The 16,342-nt window shown below is 36.8% G+C and overlaps 1 protein-coding gene and 1 pseudogene across 2 annotated transcripts in view; one reads left to right on the plus strand and one right to left on the minus strand.

Moving 5' to 3' along the window:
- Nucleotides 634–16,342, minus strand: part of RYK (receptor like tyrosine kinase) — a 93,727-nt gene continuing 78,018 nt past the window's right edge. For both annotated transcript variants that reach the window (NM_002958.4, NM_001005861.3), the window contains exons 14-15: nucleotides 2,738–2,874; nucleotides 634–1,765 (exon numbers count right to left, since the gene is read on the minus strand). In NM_002958.4, the coding sequence (NP_002949.2) occupies nucleotides 1,654–1,765; nucleotides 2,738–2,874 (249 nt within the window). In that variant the 3' untranslated portion in view covers nucleotides 634–1,653. The remainder of the gene's footprint in view (nucleotides 1,766–2,737; nucleotides 2,875–16,342) is intronic.
- HMGB3P14 (high mobility group box 3 pseudogene 14) lies at nucleotides 13,945–14,600 on the plus strand (annotated as a pseudogene).

Consider the following 16,342-nt stretch of genomic DNA (forward strand, 5'->3'; position numbering starts at 1 on the left):
TAAGTGCTGTAAATGTTGACTGAATGCCTTCTAAGAATGCAGGTTATGAATGAAAATATAATTTACAAATGGTTCAAAGGGACCTTTTAAAAAACAGTACTCCAGGGACTGGCTTCATATGAGTATTTCATAAAACCAAAGAACTGTTAATAAATGTACACAGAAAATCATGCCCTTGGCTTACTTGTGGAAAACCAGGTACTATGTGAGCTATTTTTCCCGATGTGCTGCTGATTCATAAGGCTTTTTTAAAAACAGCAAAAGCCTCCAACTGCTACACATTCTCCCTTATATACCTCTGAAGATGGGAGTAGTGGCAGGTACCTGCAGGCCTAGCTATTTAGAAAGCCCATTCAACTCTGCTTTAGGCCAACTAAAACTGAGCATAAATACATACATATCCCTTACTTGCTGGTTCTGGAGAAATGTTTCAGTGTTTTAATACTTCCTTATAACATTAATTCCAACTTTTTACTAGAACCTGGAGTCTGAGCCAGCTTAACTGTGTTAGGGCTTTGGAACTTGACTGGAACATCATGAAATAAAACACAAATGTCTGGCTGTTGAATGTTCAAAGACTTACCAGACACAATAACCAATCATTCATTATGAAAAATAATTTCAATACTGTCATAATATAAAACAAATCCTTTAATTTTTCAAGTGTTTAAAAAACAATTTTATACTTAAGCCAGCCTTGAAGATAAGCACAAAATTTACCAGTTTACATTTAAAAAACAAACAAAAAACGACAACAACTCAAGCACCCGCTCTGTGCATAGCACTATTCTAGGTGCAATAAAAGGGAATCTTAACCTTAGAAATATGAGTTCACTTTCTGGAATTGTATTATCTCCTTTTCCAGAGAGTAAAAATAAATAAAATCACCATTGTTTACTACAGATCTGCCCCAAACCACATCTGGTTCACAGAAAGGCTAATTTCTGCCAAATTAAAGATGTAATGAACTCAGTTCCTGCTTTCCCAAAAACACGAAAGCAGAATTCCTTTTCACTGAAAAAAATAAACAGTTTTCCATGCAAGGGCAGTTTGCTTCTAATAAGTATTTTTAAAAAAATTTTTTTTTCCTCTAGCTTTTCTTTAAATTTTCTTCCTCTAATATTGCCTTTTCTTGTACAAGGCAGACCAGGTATCTTTTTATGCTGTTTTTCCTTTACTAAGAAAAGTATTGCATCTTGAAGACAAACCATTTCCCAGAGTAGTGATAAAAAATAACACTAAAAAAACTTTAAAGGTGAGTCACTTACATCACCTTGATGAAGTAAAAAAATAAAAAGCAGTTGGCACTAAGATAGCTAATTCCAAATATCTGTGTCTAAACAATTTTAAAAACTGTTTATTTATTTTGTAAGAATGTACCCCTAGTCCAAAGTAAGTATGTTTTAAAAAATTTTGGCCAAAAAATTTACAAAAACCCTTTCAGTTCAACCTAATAAAAGTGATATCTAGAAAATATGCCACATTATTAAGTCTGTCTTAAAAAGTTCAGATTCTAAAGCATTTCTAAGGCACGGTGTTCTGGAAGACAAATGTGCTTCTGTTGGCGTTGTGTTAGATACAAAGCATCCCTGACAGGCTTCAAGTGAGCCCCGACAGGCACCTTCTTCCTGATGGTGTGGGATTGGAGAGGAGTCAGACGTAGGCCCCCAGGGCTGCATGAAACTCTGTTAGGCACTGTACCAGCTGCTGAAACTTGGGCCTCTCCTCTGGATCTAAGGCCCAGCAACAGGCCATCACAGCAAATCTGCAGAGTGACAAAAATGAAAATTTGGGCTAGTAAGGATACAGTATTCATAACTTTTGCTCAGTTTGATGCCAGTTATGTTGCCTGTCTAAAGGTGGGTATGGAGAGGATGATATATTAAAAACGGATCCATTTTACTATCTGTTGGCAGCTCTAGAAAGAAGCTAAAAGAAATTATTTGGATTATGTGTGAATTTCAATTCTTCATGACAACATATCAAAATATTTCAGCAAATACAGAGATTTCATGTAAAAACCTAAAACACAGTAAAAAAAGAATGTGTGTTTTCCTGTAGTTAAATTAAGAAAAGAACTTGGAGGAAGAGAAAGTTTTATCTAAGTTCTATGAACCCTGGATCTAGAGTAAAATCAGTACAAAAGCTGCCACCTTGTCATGGTGCAGAAACCTTCAGGAGGTTCTGGAACTGAGAATATACTCATCTGTACGATCAATCACCCTGCATAGCCTCCTGTTTATCCCATTCTCATTACATGGCAAGATAAGCTATGTGATAGAAGCAGGAAACAGAAAGCAACTATTTGGCTTACTAGTCCAGATCATCTTCCCTGTATTAGCTGATACTAACTGGCAAGGCAAAATGACAACGAGAGAGGTTTTTTATAACTACTATGTCCTTTATAACTACTTTATAACTATAAAAGTCAGATACTCACTTTATATAGAATAACTGACGTAGCATTCAATTTTCTTAGTACGTCCTCTCAGACTAATTTATAGTGCTTAGATTATGCACTATAAAATAAAATGCAAGACGTTCTAATATCAAATGCATGAAAGAGTGAACGAATCTCCCTGACTTTGTGGTTTTTTATAAGAGTCTAATTTAAATCCAAAGAGTCATTATTCTCAAAAGGGAAGGCTCTGTGTGAATATGGAAACCTGCTCTTTTTCCTTTATTCCAATATAGTAAATGGAATAAAACTCATGCCTTCAAGCTCAAAAAAACTCACAATTCATCAGGACAGTTGATTGGCTGGGCTATTCGGTAACCATCTTTCAGGTATGCGGCCATCTCGAAGGGGTCAATGTCCACGTAGGGAGTCTGGCCCAGAGTCATGAGTTCCCACAGCGTCACTCCAAAGGCCCACTAGTAAAGGAGCAGAAGCACAATGAGGGGACATTTAAAACAACAGTCAGGGGGCTAGCGCCCACAGCCAGCTACAGGACAAAAAATAACAGCTCAACTCATGCTTTGGAAAAGCGAAATGTTATTTACAAAAAAATGTCTATCATACACAGTTAGTTTCCCTTGCTAAGATAAAAAAGAGTGCATCCAATATTAGTATTATAAATTCTAAGTAATTAGATCCATTGGAAGTAATAGTTTACTGTTGATTACAAGCTACGTATTATGAATTATGTCCAAGATTCTTCTAATATGAGAATTTGTAACTTTAAATATTATAGCTAGTCTGCATAATTGAGAAGTGGAAAATGAACAGAATTTTAGTTTAATTAAAGGGAAGAGCATCCTAAGTGAAATACGCAAATGAGGGGAAATATAAGAAGTCATGGATTTTTACTGTATTTAAAGTTTTAAATTAAAGGATTAAAAAAACTTCCAACCTTGCTTGAGTAAGCAATCAGGTTTATTTAAAATCAGCAGGTAAACTACAGAAAGGAACAGGAATAGTAAACAGTGGCAACAGTGTCCATTCATGGTCCGTTCGGGGCTCTCCATTTTGGCCAATTCCTGGCTGTACTTGGCTCCTGGAGAGCGTGCAGGGGGCGGGGGGCAGGCAACGTCTCTACACAGAGCTGCTGCCACATGGCTGGGAAGGACTCAGATCCGGTACATCCACTGATCTGCCGCCAAGTGTGAACCCTGAGGTCAGAACAACTGAACTTGGATGAGGAGGGGGATACCTGTGTACTGTAGTATCAGGTTTATGAGTACCTACAAATTCAAATCATTTTGCATCCTTCAATACATTTAATTTCCTCAATAAACCTGTGAGAATCATTGGTAGCTCAATTTTACAGGTGAGAAAACTGAGGCTCAGAGAAATAGCTTGCCCCAAAATACATATTTTAATGAGTAAAAGAGAAAAAAGTGAAAAAAAGAAAAGGAAAAAAGAGAAATACCAAACGCAAGTCAAATACAAGTCTGTTTGTAAAATCTAAACATGTTGCATTAAATTTTAGGTTATTATTTTTCAATAACAACAAAATCCCAAAATACTTTGTAAAATACACAGATTTTTTTAAAAGCCTTATAATAGTGAACAATAGCTACATTTCCCCCCAGAATCTATGCAAACAAGAAAACAATGAAATGACATATTTTAAAATATTTTAGGGCCAGGCACGGTGGCTCACACCTGTAATCCCAGCACTTTGGGAGGATTATCTGAGGTCAGGAGTTCAAGATCAGCCATGACCAACATAGAGAAACCCCATCTCTACTAAAAATACAAAATTATCTGGGCATGGTGGCGCATGCCTGTAATCCCAGCTACTCGGGAGGCTGAAGCAGGAGAATCGCTTAAACCCGGGAGGCGGAGGTTGCGGTGAGCCGAGATCGCGCCACTGCACTCCAGCCTGGGCAACAAAGCGAGACTCTGTCTCAAAGAAAGAAAAAAAAATTAAAAACTGTCATGGAAAGTTCTATATAGAGCCAAAATATACTTCAACAATGAAGATAAATACAGAGTTTTTCAGACAAATAAAAGCAGAGAGACTATGTTTCCAGCAGACCTGTAAGATGTATGAAAGCAGTTCTTCATGTGGAAAGAAAATATACCACATGGAAATCTGAGTCAACACAAAGAATACAGAGTGCTGAAAATATATTAGTAACAACTGAACATATTCTCTTATGTTAAAATTTCCTTGACAGACTATTTAAAGCAAAAACAGCTAACAATATATCGTGGGGTTTATAATATACAGAGAAGTAAAAGGTATGCCCACAACCAGTTTGAAGACTGGAAGGGGATGAATGGAAACACTATATTAAACATGAAATGATATAATATTTTTGGAAAATAGAAGGTTTACACTATAAAGCCTAGAGTAGGTTTTTTAACCTCAGCACTACTGATATTGTGGGCTGGAGGATTCTTTGCTGTGAGAAGCTGTCCTGTGCATTGTAGGATGTTTAGCATTCTCCCTGGGCTCTACCCACTAGATGATAGTAGCACATCCTCCAAGCTGTGACAACCCAAAATGCCTCCGGACATAGCCAAATGTCCCTTGGCACAGACAAATGTCCTTAGCCAGAGCAAAACTGTCCCAGTTAAGAACCACTGTGTTAGACTGAACAACAACAAAAAATTTAAAATATCAGAAATAAAGGAGGGAACACCATCCTTTAAGACATCAAAAAATATTATGAACAATCCAATTTTATGCCAATAAATTCAGCAACTTAAATGAAATAAACAAATTTCTTAAAATACAAATTACCAAAACAGACACAGGAGTAAACAGAACATCTATATAGCCCTACATCTATTAAAGATACTGAATTCACAATTCAAAACCTTTCCACAAAGAAAACTCAACACTGTTTGGTGAATTCTATCAAACTTGAAAGAAAATATAAATCTGTATTAGTTTTCTAGGGCTACCATAATAACATACCACAAACGAGTAGTTTAAACAACAGAAATTTATTGTCCCACTGCTCTGATAGCTAGAAGTCCAAATCAATGTGTCAGCGTGGCTGTGCTTCCCCGGAAACCTGTAGGGGGAATCTTTCCTTGCCTATTCCCAGCTTCCTGTGGTTGCCGGAAGCCCCTGGTGTGTCTTGGTTTGCAGCTGCAGCCCTGCAGTCCCTGCCTCTATCTTCACGTGACATTTTCTCCTCATGTGTGTGTCTCTTTTCTTAGGGTGGATTAGAGCTCATACTCATTGAGTATGACCTCATCTTAACGTTACATCTGCAATGACCCTATTTCCAAATAAGGTCACATTCTGAGGTACTGGGGGTTAGGGCTTCAACCATTTTTTTTTTTTTTTTGGTGGAGACGCAGGACACAATTCAACCCATTACACACCCAACCCTACGTAAACTTTCAGAACACAGAGGAAGGAATATATCTCATTCACTTTGACAGCAGCATTACCCTAAATACCAAAAACAGGTGGTCAGCCTTTTGGAACCTATTATCTTTTTCATTAACAGTGATCATTAACATGGAGCAAAGTCCAGCCTTGAAGTCTATGCTCTGGGAGGAGGGGGCAGGCGACAGATGGAGAAGCGTGTATAGTTTCAAAATCTCCACAGAGTCTTGGAGGCTACTGAAATTTCCCTTACACCTACTGGGACATTCTATTCTGCTTAAAAATGGAAAAATGATTTCAAATTAATAAAAGTTAAAGGATGGTGCCTGCTCACAACTAGTTATTTGCCTATCTTTAAAACCTTACTGTATATGAAACTTTTTTCTGAGAAGCAACAAGATCTACATGAAATCTTAATACTGACAGTCATTAGTAAATGCAATGCTTTATTTTTAAAATCGTGTCCAATTTCCATAGAGAAGGTAGTTCCCTGCACAGATGGAACAGAGCCCAAAGAAATGAAACTGGTCGGAAGGGTGCTCCCATCCCTTCCTCCAGAGATGAAATGATCCATTCAAACTAGATTTTGGAAGAAGAAACCATGGGAATTGGTGACAAGTGCATCCTGACTCTTTGTACACAGGGAATAACCCCATCCACTGACATTATAACACCTTCTGACTTTAAGGGACTTTGATATTAAAGTTGGTGGTATTTGAGATCTGGAGTTGAATGTAAGTATTACAGCAGCAATGTAGATAAGCTTTTAAAAATTACTCCCTTCCCACTGTTTTGTTCACATTACTGCCCAACATTTACCTAAGGTTTTCATATTACAACTACAACACTAAAAGACGCCATAAAAAAGAACAGTCAAGCCAAAGGGAACAATGCAGTTTCATTTCCTTAAAAACTAACAAAAGTGATTAATTACATGTTGGCAAACCAACCCTTAAAAAAATAATCAAGACAAAATGGCGCAGAGATGATTTGTGGAAAACTTGCTCTCTAAGGTCTTCCGATAACTGAACCATTTAAAATTTAGACAGACTTATTCTATAATTTCCTTCTGTTTGACGTCGGTGGAAAGGGGGCAATAAGAAGGTCATGCTGTTCTTTCCAGAGTTTTACGAAAGATTGTGGCTATCTCCATTTAAAGAACATTTAGATAATTATAATGTTATTCTATTCATCTTATTCCTCTCCCCAGAACATGTTATTTTACAGCTTCTATATATAAGATGTAAAACAGTTTTTCCACTAAAACATATATGAATGTGACTTGTCAAAAAGTATGTAAGTAAAATTCCTTTTTTCTTTTAGTGCAGCATTAACTAAAGATGGAGCTACTGAATTAAGACATTTCCAGTGATTACTTCAGGAACTTACAATGCAAGGCTCACTTCAGTAAACTATAAACTGAAAGGAAAATAATTCCATTCAATTGTAAATTATCTTATCTGACCACAGTGGAAGCATCATCAGGTGGTCCATGGCTAGGCCTTTCTGTTCATATTAGAAACCTAATATCCCTTTCTCACATAAAGACATGGCTGCAGATTACCAAAGTGCAATTAAATGAACCTGGGTTAAGTGTTTTATAAGAAGGAGAAGAATTATCTGGGGTGCTTGCTAAAAAGTCCAGTTCCTCTGTCCTATCTTAATAATTCTGAAGCCTGGATCACATTATTTTATTTAATTAATTATTTATTTGCATTTTTAGCAGAAATGGGGTTTTACCATGTTGGCCAGGCTGGTCTCGAACTCCTGGTTTCAAGTGATCCACCAGCCGTGGCCTCCCAAAGTGCTGGAATTATAGGCATGAGCCACCATGACAGGCCTGGATCACATCCCTTTAAACAAAAGTCCTTGGTGGGTCTTAAGATTGGGTAAATTTAGCAAGTAGTCCTAGATTTGTTAGCTGCAGTGATCAGACAGTAAAGACAGTTTTCATTTATTTTTATTGTAGTACAGCTGACACATAAGAAATTGCACATAAAGTATTCCACTGGATAAGTTCTGATATACATAAACACTCCTGAAACCACTGCCACAACCAAGATAAGGAGCATATCTATCACTTCCAAATGATTCTGTTTTGATCCTTTCCTTCCACCCCTCCCTACCACCAGCACTACCATCCCCAAGTACCCACTAATTTGCTTTCTGTCACTAGATAGTTGGCGTTTTCTAGAATTATATAAATAGAATTATTCAAGCTGTATACTGTTTTCCTAGCTTCTTTTACTCAGAATGATTCTGAGATTCATCTGTGATGTAGCATGTACCAACAGTTCATTCCTTTTTATTTAGTAGTATAGCTCGTTATATGAATACTGCAGTTTACCCATTTACCTGTTGATAAGCATTTGAATTATGTTCAGCCTTAGCTATTAAAAATAAAGCTGCTATGAACATCTGCGTAGTGTTGGTAAGAACATGTTTTCATTTATCTAAGAGCAAAATGACTGAATATGGTACATACATATTTAACATTTTAAGAAATTGCCAAGCTGTTTCCCAAAGTTTGGAAATATCCCATTTTACATTCCTGCCAGCAGTGTAAAAGAGCTCTTGTTCTTTCATATCCTTGTCAATATTTGGTATGGTCAGACTTTTCAATTTTAGCCAAACCAACAGTATCTCATTGTGGTTTAATTTTGCATTTCCCTAATGAATGACTAATAATGTTGATAATATTTTTCAAACTTGGAGAGAATATCTTGAGTTTTCTGACCAAGGCAAAAAGGGTGTACCTCTCCTATTGTGTATGTATTATTTAATTTCTCTCAGCAATGTATTGTATAGCTCTTTCACATTTTTTGTCAGATTTATTCCTGAGAACTTCGTATTTTTGATGTTCTTATAAACTTTTTTAAAACTTTATTTTTCATTGTTAGTGTTCAAAAATACAATTTATTTTTGTACACTGATCTTGCAATCTTTCTAAACTCACTTATTAGTTTTAGTAGCTTTTTTGTATATCATACTGAATTTTCTACATAAATGATCATACTATTCTGCAAATAGTTACTTTTTTCTATCTACTCTTTTCTTCCCTTAGTGCACTGGCTATAATCTTAAGGACAGTGCTGAGTAACAGAAGTGGTAAGAGTGGGCAACCTTGTCTTGTTCCTGGTATTAAATAAAAACAATTCAGCCTTTCACCACTAAATATGTTAGCTATAGGTTTTTCTGTAGACGCCCTTTACCAGGCCTAGAGCAGATGTCCAGAGGGACATGCCTCCTCTTAGATGCCTCTTTAGGTCTGGTGTGCCCCAAGTGCCAAAAAAGGACCTCAGTGCCTCTGGGGTGGGGCTCTGGCAAACAGCCACTGAGGTACGTTCCACCTAGCTGAGAGATGATGTTCCCACCCCAGTGGACCTGAAAAGCAGAGTACGAAGCCAAAGGGAATTATTCTTGAGTCCTAAGGTTTAATATTGTTTGTTCGGTTAGGTTTTCAACTTATTTTAGATGCATTACTCCTTTCTTCTTTCCTATTTCTTCCCTTTGGAATGAGTATGTCTATCCATTACTTGTCCCACCACTGTATTTTTGAAGCACATAACTTATTTGCTTTTATAGGTTCAGAGCTAGAGAGGAATTTGCCTCAGCATAAACTGTACCTTGAGGTTCATCCATATCAGATTTAGACGACATTTAAATGACACTTTGGACTTAAGACTTTGGAGCTGATGCTAAAACAACTTAAGACTTTTAGGGCTGTTGGGATGGAATGAATGTATTTTGCATGTGAGAATGACATAAATTTTGGAAGGCCAGTGGCAGAATGTGGTGGACTGAATGTGTGTGTCCCTGCCACCATTTATATGCTGAAACCTTAACCCCCAAGTGATGGTATTAGGAGTTGGGGCCTTTGGAAGGTGGTCAGGTCATGAGAGTGCAGCCCTCATAAATGGGATTGGTACTCTTATAAAAGAGACCACCAGAGAGCTCCCTCACCCCTTATGCCACATGAGGACCCAGAAGAGAGGATGGATATTTATGAACCAGGAAAGGGGCTCTCAACAGACACCGAACCTGCTGGTACCTAATTTTGGACTTCCTAGACTCCAGAATTATGAGAATTCATTGTTTGTTATTTAAGTTATCCAGTCTATGGCAGTTTGTTACAGTGGCTCCAATACACTAAGACACCAACTCAACTTCAAACATCAGCAATCTTTAAGCAGAGTGTTATACGTGATTGAAAAGTGACTACTTCTGCTATGAATCTGCCCCACGATCTGTGATTAGGAAAGACAGAGGAGCCAACATTGGATGCTAACCAGGCCATTACACATATCTGTTATTTATGGCACTTTTTGCCACTGTATCAGATGCATAGACATTACTCCATCAGAACACTGGGGCTATCTGAGGGGAATATTAAACAGAATAAGGACAAGTCTCTTTAAAGGAATGTAAAGAGTTGTTTACAAGATTTTATCAGTAAATTATCCTGAGGGAGAGCCAACGACAGAAAACACCCAGGCCAACTACTTGATCACAGGACAGCAAGTGCTCACCTCTGAAAATACAGTAACTCTTCCTAAAGTAAATCCATTTATTCCTCATTCCAAGAAAATATTAGGATGAATAAAACAATACCATTAAATAAAACTAAACAATATCTTAATGTTAAATTTTAAATTTTTATTTCTTAAAGTCTGAAATAATCCTTGCACCTCTAGATTTTTCCTGTCTTTAATATTTATTTCTCTTAATGTGAACTTAATACTTAAATAATTGTTCCAAGATTATTGTATATAAAATCTACAACTATAAAGGAAACAAATATTAGGAATCTATGCATTACTCTAAAATTAATAATGAATAAAGTTTTCTATACTTTAAAAAATAATAAGCGCTCCATGCTCATGGACAGGAACAATCAATATCGTGAAAATGGCCATACTGCCCAAGGTAATTTACAGATTCAAAAACTACTTTAAAGTTCATATGGAACCAAAAAAAGAGCCCGCATTGCCAAGACAATCCTAAGCCAGAAGAACAAAGCTGGAGGTATCATGCTACCTGACTTCAAACTATACTACAAGGCTACAGTAACCAAAACAGCATGGTACTGGTACCAAAACAGAGATATAGACCAATGGAACAGAATAGAGCCCTCAAAAATAATACTACACATCTACAACTATCTGATCTTTGACAAACCTGACAAAAACAAGAAATGGGGAAAGGATTCCCTATTTAATAAATGGTGCTGGGAAAACTGGCTAGCCATATGTAGAAAGGTGAAACTGGATAGCCATATGTAGAAAGGTGAAACTGGATCCCTTCCTTACACCTTATACAAACATTAATTCAAGATGGATTAAAGACTTAAATGTCAGACCTAAAACCATAAAAACAATAGAAGAAAACCTAGGCAATACCATTCAGGACATAGGCATGAGCAAGGACTTCACGTCTAAAACACCAAAAGCAATGGCAACAAAAGCCAAAATTGACAAATGGGATCTAATTAAACTAAAGAGCTTCTGCACAGCGAAAGAAGCTACCGTCAGAGTGAACAGGCAACCTACAAAATGGGAGAAAATTTTTGTAATCTACTCATCTGACAAAGGGCTAATATCCAGAATCTACAAAGAACTCAAACAAATTTACAAGAAAAAAACAACCCCATCAAAGAGTGGGCAAAGGATATGAACAGATACTTCTCAAAAGAAGACATTTATGCAGCCAAAAGACACATGAAAAAATGCTCATCATCACTGGCCATCAGAGAAATGCAAATCAAAACCACAATGAGATACCATCTCACACCAGTTAGAATGGCAATCATTAAAAAGTCAGGAAACAACAGGTGATGGAGAGGATGTGGAGAAATAGAAACACTTTTACACTGTTGGTGGGACTGTAAACTAGTTCAACCATTGTTGAAGACAGTGTGGTGATTCCTCAAGGATCTAGAACTAGAAATACCATTTGACCCAGCCATCCCATTACTGGGTATCTACCCAAAGGAGTATAAATCATGCTGCTATAAAGACACATGCACACGTATGTTTATTGAGGCACTATTCACGACAGCAAAGACTTGGAACCAACCCAAATGTCCATCAATGATAGACTGGATTAAGAAAATGTGGCACATATACACCATGGAATGCTATGCAGCCATAAAAAAGGATGAGTTCATGTCCTTTGTAGGGACATGGACGAAACTAGAAACCATCATTCTCAGCAAACTATCGCAAGGACAAAAAACCAAACACCGCATGTTCACACTCATAGGTGGGAATTGAACAATGAGAACACTTGGACACAGGAAGGGGAACATCACACACCGGGGCCTTCGTAGGGTAGGGGGATGGGGGAGGGATAGCATTAGGAGATATACCTAATGTGAATGATGAGTTAATGGGTGCAGCACACCAACATGGCACATGTATACATATGTAACAAACCTGCATGTTATGCACATGTACCTTAGAACTTAAAGTATAATAAAAAATAAAATAATAATAATAAGAAGAAGCATCCTCCGTAACTCTAGCTTTCTCTTTGATACCACAGTAGTTCAGCAGACTACTTTCCATGGGTATATAATAAATGTCAGACTCTCCCGCTCAGGTCGCTCAGGATACAACAAGCACTGGGCTCCCTCCACAGCACTGGGCAAACAGGGAGTTAAAAGAGTCATACGTAGCAATGTGCTGCAGATGCAGTCTCTGGATAACTCCAGACTTCCTTTTATTTTCTAGGTGATCATTGATAGTCACAAAATAAATAATGTAAAGGCACAAGCAACACATTTTGATTTGTCCTATCCCCTAAAAACTGTTCAAATACTTTTAAAAGGATCTCTTCACTGCCATAAACCATGCTGATAATATTTGGCATGGAAGTTATTTCCTTGACTTGTTTTTCTTAAGAAAATGCTTCTTAAACACAATGTAATACTATAAAGACAAGAAAACCAATAAGAAAGAAATTCCTAACTGCATACTCCTGATTACATTTAGTAATCTCCTAATAGAAAGTAGTTCTTAAGAGCAGAATTACGTTAGCTACTATAATTAGCTAAGTAATTCAAAGAAGATGTAAATCAAGAACTCTATTTTCAAATAAAGGAAAAGAAAGTCACATAAAAAAATTTATGGTGGTATCCACATCTGATGAAAACACAATAAAAACAATATCCAGAAATTCTTAAGAATGCCTACAATGATGTCATATCTTGGAATAATATTAGACATTTATAACTAGTCAAATCTTGATGTGCATAGTTCTTAAGCTCAACAGTTAAAAGTTGACGTTAACAGAAGAATCTGGACATACTGAAATATTGAATCCTTTCAGTAAAAATTCTGAAAACACAGCCCAGAGATGCAATGTATTATTTTCATGATGGAAAACATCAATGTATTTCTAAATAAATCGTGTAGAATTTTTAATTATGAAGAAATGCAAAAATGTTAAGGATGTCTTAAAGGACCGAGAAAATGTTCCCTCCAAGGCAGCAGTATCATTTGTTGGGTGCTACATTTACATCTAAAAATATGTATTTCACATGTGTATAGACTCTGGTGGAAGTGTCCAAAAATAGAATATTAAATGTAACTTTTAAGCCCCCAACTTCACCCATAAAGAAAAAATGGTAACAGAATATAATGACTGTGTGTACACATTTCCAACCCAAATGTTAAAAAGCAATCTTCAACAAGTGTGCTTTAAAATATTTTAAGAATTAAAAAAAATTCAATCCCAAAAAACTAAAAGGCAGGACTTTTACACGAACAGTCACATCATAGTCATGGAAAACAGAAGGGTGTTCCTAGTCCTTTCAATTCCAATTATCTAAAGCAAAGGCGATACATACATACATATGTGTGTGTGGGATTGTATATACACACATACATATATATGGAAACAAATTTATAATAAGCTACAAAAGAAAAATGTGAGCACTTTCTAGGAGTTAACCACGTTAAATGCAAATCGGAGGATATTGTTAACATCACATGCTAAGTATAGCTCAGAAAATTTGGGTCACACAGCTATTTCAAGTAAGTTTATGCCAAAACACACTGAAAGTAATTATGATGTTAAAGTAATTCTCCTGTTGAGGTGCCTTTTGTGGAGGCAGCTAGCGTGAGGCTGGGGAATCACTAAGCTACATGTCATGCCCTGTGCTGCCCAGACTCATGAACAATTCAGTCAGGGTGGCTAAAAGCTACTCCACAAAACCAAAAGGCAAGATGTTTGCTTATGCCTTCTTTGTGCAGGCATACAGAGAACCTAAGCAGAAAAACCCAAAGATCCCTGTCAATTTTTGCAAAATTGTCCAAAAGTACACTGAGAAGTGGAAGACAATGTCTGGGAAAGAGAAGTCTAAATCTGATGAAATGGCAAAAGTAGATAAAATATGCTATGATTCAGAAATGAAGGATTATGGACTATCTAAGGGAGGCAAAACAAAAAAATAAAAAACAAAAAGGACCTCAATGTCCCCAAAAGGTCACTGTCCAGATTCTTCCTGTTCTGTTCAGAATTCTGCCCCAAGAATTCAGACCCTGGCATCTCTATTGGAGATGTGGCAAAAAAGCTAGGTGAGAGGTGGAGTAATTTAAGTGACACTAAAAAGCAGCTTTGCATCACAAAGGCAACAAAGCTGAAGGAGAAGTATGAGAAGGATGTTGCTAACTGCAAGTCTAAAGGAAAATCTGATGGCGCAAAAGGTCCCACTAAAGTTGTCTGGACAAAGGTGGAAGAGAAAGGCAAAGATGACGAGGAGGAAGAGGCGGAGGAGGAGAATGAATAAAAAACTCTATCTGTAATAACAAACTAAATAACTAACTAAAGTAATTCTCTTGTGAATCTGCTCACCATTAAGTTAATGGTGATATTTTAAAATAAAGCTGCCACATGAACAAGCAACTAAGTATTTGGTGTAACTGCATTCTGATGATGGCAGATTCTTACATAAAATGTGTGAACTCCTGCAAAATGTCATAACCATAAAAATAACTATTTCTGATATAATTTGAAATGTTCTGCCTAACCAAACCATGTATCCTCAACATGAACTTTGCCAGCTAATACCCAGCTGAAGAGACTCAACGCTCTTGGAGCATCTTGCTTGGAGATTTATTATTAGCTATAGCCTCATTTGTTGAAAGTATATTATCTAACTTAATTTTCACTCTGTAGGTCCTACAAAATATTTAATCATAAATGTTACAAAAAAATAATTCCTATCATCGCTTAATTATACAATGGTATACCTACACAGAAATAAATACGTTAAATTAAGTAATACAGGCTGGGTGCAGTGGCTCCCGCCTGTAATCCCAGTGCTTTGAGAGGTCAAGGCAGGAGGATCGCTTGAGCTTAGGGGTACAAGATCAGCCTGGGCAACACAGCAAGCCTCCATCTCTACAAAAAATAAAAGAATTAGCCACGTGTGGTGGCACACACTGGTAGTCCTAGCTACTCAGGAGGCTGAGGCAGGAGGACCACTTGAGCCCAGGAGTACAAGGCTACACTGAGCTATGACTGTACCACTGCACTCCCACCTGGGCAACAGAAGTAGCTAAGGAAAAAAAAAAAAAGTAATACATATTTTGGGGGCCTCCACTGTGCAAGCAAATAGCACTACTTGCCATCTTGCATACCCCTTTGAAATACAAGCTATCAATGCTCCTTTTTCTAAGAGAATAATAAAAAGATTTCCAACCTCTTCAAATTACACGAAATACTTATAGATTATCATCTAAGAATTATCTTCCATTTTCTGCCCATCGAACTAGTTTTGGTTCACCACAACAGCCATATCATTTCAGCAAAGGCAACTATATTTCAATAAATAACAAAATAAAAATTTTAAATCAACCACTGGAAATAAAAAAATTAACATCCCAAAGAGACGAGTGAATCCATCTTTTAAATCAACTACGGAATAAAATTTTCAAAGTAAACACTAAGAAAAGTTTACTTCACTTTTCTACATTTAAAAATGTTTAGATGTGAGCTTTTACTAAAGGAGTAAATTTGAGATCACACTGCTCTAATTCAACTGATATTATGTTTTAAAATTATGTTCTACAACCAAAGCCAAACCAATTCCTCCTGTCCCCTTTCCCACTCCATGAAAATAGCTTTGCTTAATGTAGAGCTGGTAAACAGTTCCAGCTACAATTCAGAATTTCTGAATAAAGATTTGGCAACTCTAAAACCAAAAACATTATCAAAGAGTAGAACTAGTCCTTACTGTCATTCAGTACAGCAGCTGTGCATTGGTCTAAAATCAAACTCTGCTTTCCCTTCGTATGTCATTTGAAAAATATAAAAATCAAAACCAAAAATGTAACCTTTCTCTCCCTAAAAAAAAGCCCAGGTTCTCATTACGTAGAGATTTAAAAAGAATATAACCTGCTTTGCATATTTGTACTGCTTTACTTGGTATGTTTAACTTCTAGACATTAATGCTAGAGAGAGATTTTTTCTTTATCATCAGAGCTCTGGAAAAACAGACCAGGACTAGTACCCCACTGCTCTATAAGCTGAACCCTGGGATT

Source organism: Homo sapiens, chromosome 3 (assembly GCF_000001405.40).
Source record: "Homo sapiens chromosome 3, GRCh38.p14 Primary Assembly".
Lineage (NCBI taxonomy): Eukaryota > Metazoa > Chordata > Mammalia > Primates > Hominidae > Homo > Homo sapiens.